Genomic DNA, 3,996 nt, shown 5'->3' with positions numbered 1-3,996 from the left:
TGGCCGCCCATCGTCTGGGATGTGAGGAGCCCCTCTGCCTGGCTGCCCAGTCTGGAAAGTGAGGAGCGTCTCTGCCCGGCCGCCATCCCATCTAGGAAATGAGGAGCGCCTCTTCCCCCCCGCCATCCCATCTAGGAAGTGAGGAGCGTCTCTGCCCGGCCGCCCATCGTCTGGGATGTGGGGAGCGCCTCTGCCCCGCCGCCCCGTCTGGTATGTGAGGAGCACCTCTGCCCGGCCGCGACCCCGTCTGGGAGGTGAGGAGCGTCTCTGCCCGGCTGCCCCGTCTGATAAGTGAGGAGACCCTCTGCCTGGCAACCGCCCTGTCTGAGAGGTGAGGAGCCCCTCCGTCCGGCAGCCACCCGGTCTGGGAGGTGAGGAGCATCTCTGCCTGGCAGCCACCCCGTCCGGGAGGGAGGTGGGGGTCAGCCCCCGCCAGGCCAGCCGCCCCGTCCGGGAGGGAGGTGGGGGGGTCAGCCCCCCACCCGGCCAGCCTCCCGGACGGGAGGTGAGGGGCGCCTCTGCCCGGCCGCCCCTACTGGGAAGTGAGGAGCCCCTCTGCCCGGCCAGCCGCCCCGTCTGGGAGGGAGGTGGGGGGGGGTCAGCCCCCCGCCCGGCCAGCCGCCCTGTCCGGGAGGTGAGGGGCGCCTCTGCCTGGCCGCCCCTACTGGGAAGTGAGGAGCCCCTCTGCCCGGCCAGCCGCCCCGTCCGGGAGGGAGGTGGGGGGGTCAGCCCCCCGCCCGGCCAGCCACCCCATCCGGCCAGCCGCCCCGTCCGGGAGGCGAGGGGCGCCTCTGCCCGGCCACCCCTACTGGGAATTGAGGAGCCCCTCTGCCCGGCCAGCCGCCCCGTCCGGGAGGGAGGTGGGGGTTCAGCCCCCCGCCCGGCCAGCCGCCCCGTCCGGGAGGGAGGTGGGTGGGGGGGGGGTCAGCCCCTTGCCTGGCCAGCCGCCCTGTCCAGGAGGTGAGGGGCGCCTCTGCCCGGCTGCCCCTACTGGGAAGTGAGGAGCCCCTCTGCCCAGCCAGCCACCCCGTCCGGGAGGGAGGTGGGGGGGTCAGCCCCCCGCCCGGCCAGCCGCCCTGTCCGGGAGGCGAGGGGCGCCTCTGCCCAGCCACCCCTACTGGGAATTGAGGAGCCCCTCTGCCCGGCCACGACCCCGTCTGGGAGGTGTACCCAACAGCTCATTGAGAACAGGCCAAGATGACAATGGCGGTTTTGTGGAATAGAAAGACGGGAAAGGTGGGGAAAAGATTGAGAAATCGGATGGTTGCCGTGTCTGTGTAGAGAGAAGTAGACATGGGAGACTTTTCATTTTGTTCTGTACTAAGAAAAATTCTTCTGCCTTGGGATCCTGTTGATCTGTGACCTTACCCCCAACCCTGTGCTCTCTGAAACATGTGCTGTGTCCACTCAGGGTTAAATGGATTAAGGGCGGTGCAAGATGTGCTTTGTTAAACAGATGCTTGAAGGCAGCATGCTCGTTAAGAGTCATCACCACTCCCTAACCTTAAGTACCCAGGGACACAAACACTGCGAAAGGCCGCAGGGTCCTCTGCCTAGGAAAACCAGAGACCTTTGTTCACTTGTTTATCTGCTGACATTCCCTCCACTATTGTCCTATGACCCTGCCAAATCCCCCTCTGCGAGAAACACCCAAGAATGATCAATAAAATAAATAAATAAATACAAAAAAAAGAAAAAAGAAAAAAAGATTTGCCAGGGGGACAATAAAAAAAAAAAAAAGAGACTTAGACTCCCATACAGTAATAATGGGAGACTTTAACATCCCACTGTCAACATTAGACAGATCAAAGAGACAGAAAGCTAACAAGGATATCCAGGAATCGAACTTAGCTCTGCACCAAGTGGACCTAATAGACATCTACAGAAATCTCCACCCCAAATCAACAGAATATACATTCTTTTCAGCACCACACCACACCTATTCCAAAACTGACCACATAGTTGGAAGTAAAACACTCCTCAGCAAATGTAAAAGAACAGAAATTATAACAAACTGTCTCTCAGACCACAGTGCAATCAAACTAGAACTTAGGATTAAGAAACTCACTCAAAACCACTCAACTACATGGAAACTGAACAACCTGCTCCTGAATGACTACTGGGTACATAACGAAATGAAGGCAGAAATAAAGATGTCCTTTGAAACCAACGAGAACAAAGATACAACATACCAGAATCTCTGGGACACATTCAAAGCAGTGTGTAGAGGGAAATTTATAGCACTAAATGCCCACAAGAGAAAGCAGGAAAGATCTAAAATTGACACCCTAACATCACAATTAAAAGAACTAGAGAAGCAAGAGCAAACACATTCAAAAGCTAGCAGAAGGCAAGAAATAACTAAGATCAGAGCAGAATTGAAGGAAATAGAGATACAAAAAGCCCTTCAAAAAATCAATGAATCCAGGAGCTGGTTTTTTGAAAAGATGAGCAAAATTGATAGACCACTAGTAAGACTAATAAAGAAGAAAAGAGAGAAGACTCAAATAGACATAATAAAAAATGATAAAGGGGATATCACCACCGATCCCACAGAAATACAAACTACCATCAGAGAATACTATAAACACCTCTATGCAAATAAACTAGAAAATCTAGAAGAAATGGATAAATTCCTGGACACATACACCCTCCCAAGACTAAGCCAGGAAGAAGTTGAATCTCTGAATAGACCAATAACAGGCCCTGAAATTGAGGCAATAATTAATAGCTTACCAACCAAAAAAAGTCCAAGACCAGATGGATTCACAGCCGAATTCTACCAGAGGTACAAGGAGGAGCTGGTACCATTCCTTCTGAAACTATTCCCATCAATAGAAAAAGAAGGAATCCTCCCTAACTCATTTTATGAGGCCAGCATCATCCTGATACCAAAGCCTGGCAGAGACACAACAAAAAAAGAGAATTTTAGACCAATATCCCTGATAAACATTGATGCGAAAATCCTCAATAAAATACTGGCAAACCGAATCCAGCAGCACCTCAAAAAGCTTATCGACCATGATCAAGTGTGCTTCATCCCCGGGATGCAAGGCTGCTTCAACATACGCAAATCAATAAACATAATCCAGCATACAAACAGAGCCAACAACAAAAACCACATGATTATCTCAATAGATGCAGAAAAGGCCTTCAGCAAAATTCAACAGCCCTTCATGCTAAAAACTCTTAATAAACTAAGTATTGATGGAATATATATAAAAATAATAAGAGCTATTTATGACAGACCCACAGACAATATCATACTGAATGGGCAAAAACTGGAAGCATTCCATTTGAAAATTGGCACAAGACAAGGGCACCCTCTCTCACTACTCCTATTCAACATAGTGGTGGAAGCTCTGGCCAGGGCAATCAGGCAGGAGAAAGGAATAAACGGTATTCAATTAGGAAAAGAGGAAGTCAAATTGTCCCTATTTGCAAATGACATGATTGAATATTTAGAAAACCCCATCATCTCAGCTCAAAACCTCCTTAAGCTGATAAGCAACTTCAGAAAAGCCTCAGGATACAAAATCAATATGCAAAAATCACAAGCATTCTTATACACCAATAACAGACAAACAGAGAGCCAAATCATGAGTGAACTCCCAGTCACAATTGCTTCAAAGAGAATAAAATACCTAGGAATCCAACTTACAAGGCATGTGAAGGACCTCTTCAAGGAGAACTACAAACCACTGCTCAATGAAATAAAAGAGGATACAAAGAAATGGAAGAACATTCCATGCTCATGGGTAGGAAGAATCAATATCGTGAAAATGGCCATACTGCCCAAGGTAATTTATAGATTCAAGGCCACCCCCATCAAGCTACCAATGACTTTCTTCACAGAATTGGAAAAAACTACCTTAAAGTTCATATGGAACCAAAAAAGAGCCTGCATCGCCAAGTCAATCCTAAGCCAAAAGAGCAAAGCTGGAGGCATCACGCTACCTGACTTCAAACTATACTACAAGGCTACAGTATCCAAAA

Source organism: Homo sapiens, chromosome 7 (genome assembly GCF_000001405.40).
Source record: "Homo sapiens chromosome 7, GRCh38.p14 Primary Assembly".
Taxonomy (NCBI): Eukaryota; Metazoa; Chordata; class Mammalia; order Primates; family Hominidae; genus Homo; species Homo sapiens.
Note: the sequence above shows the minus strand (reverse complement) of the source record.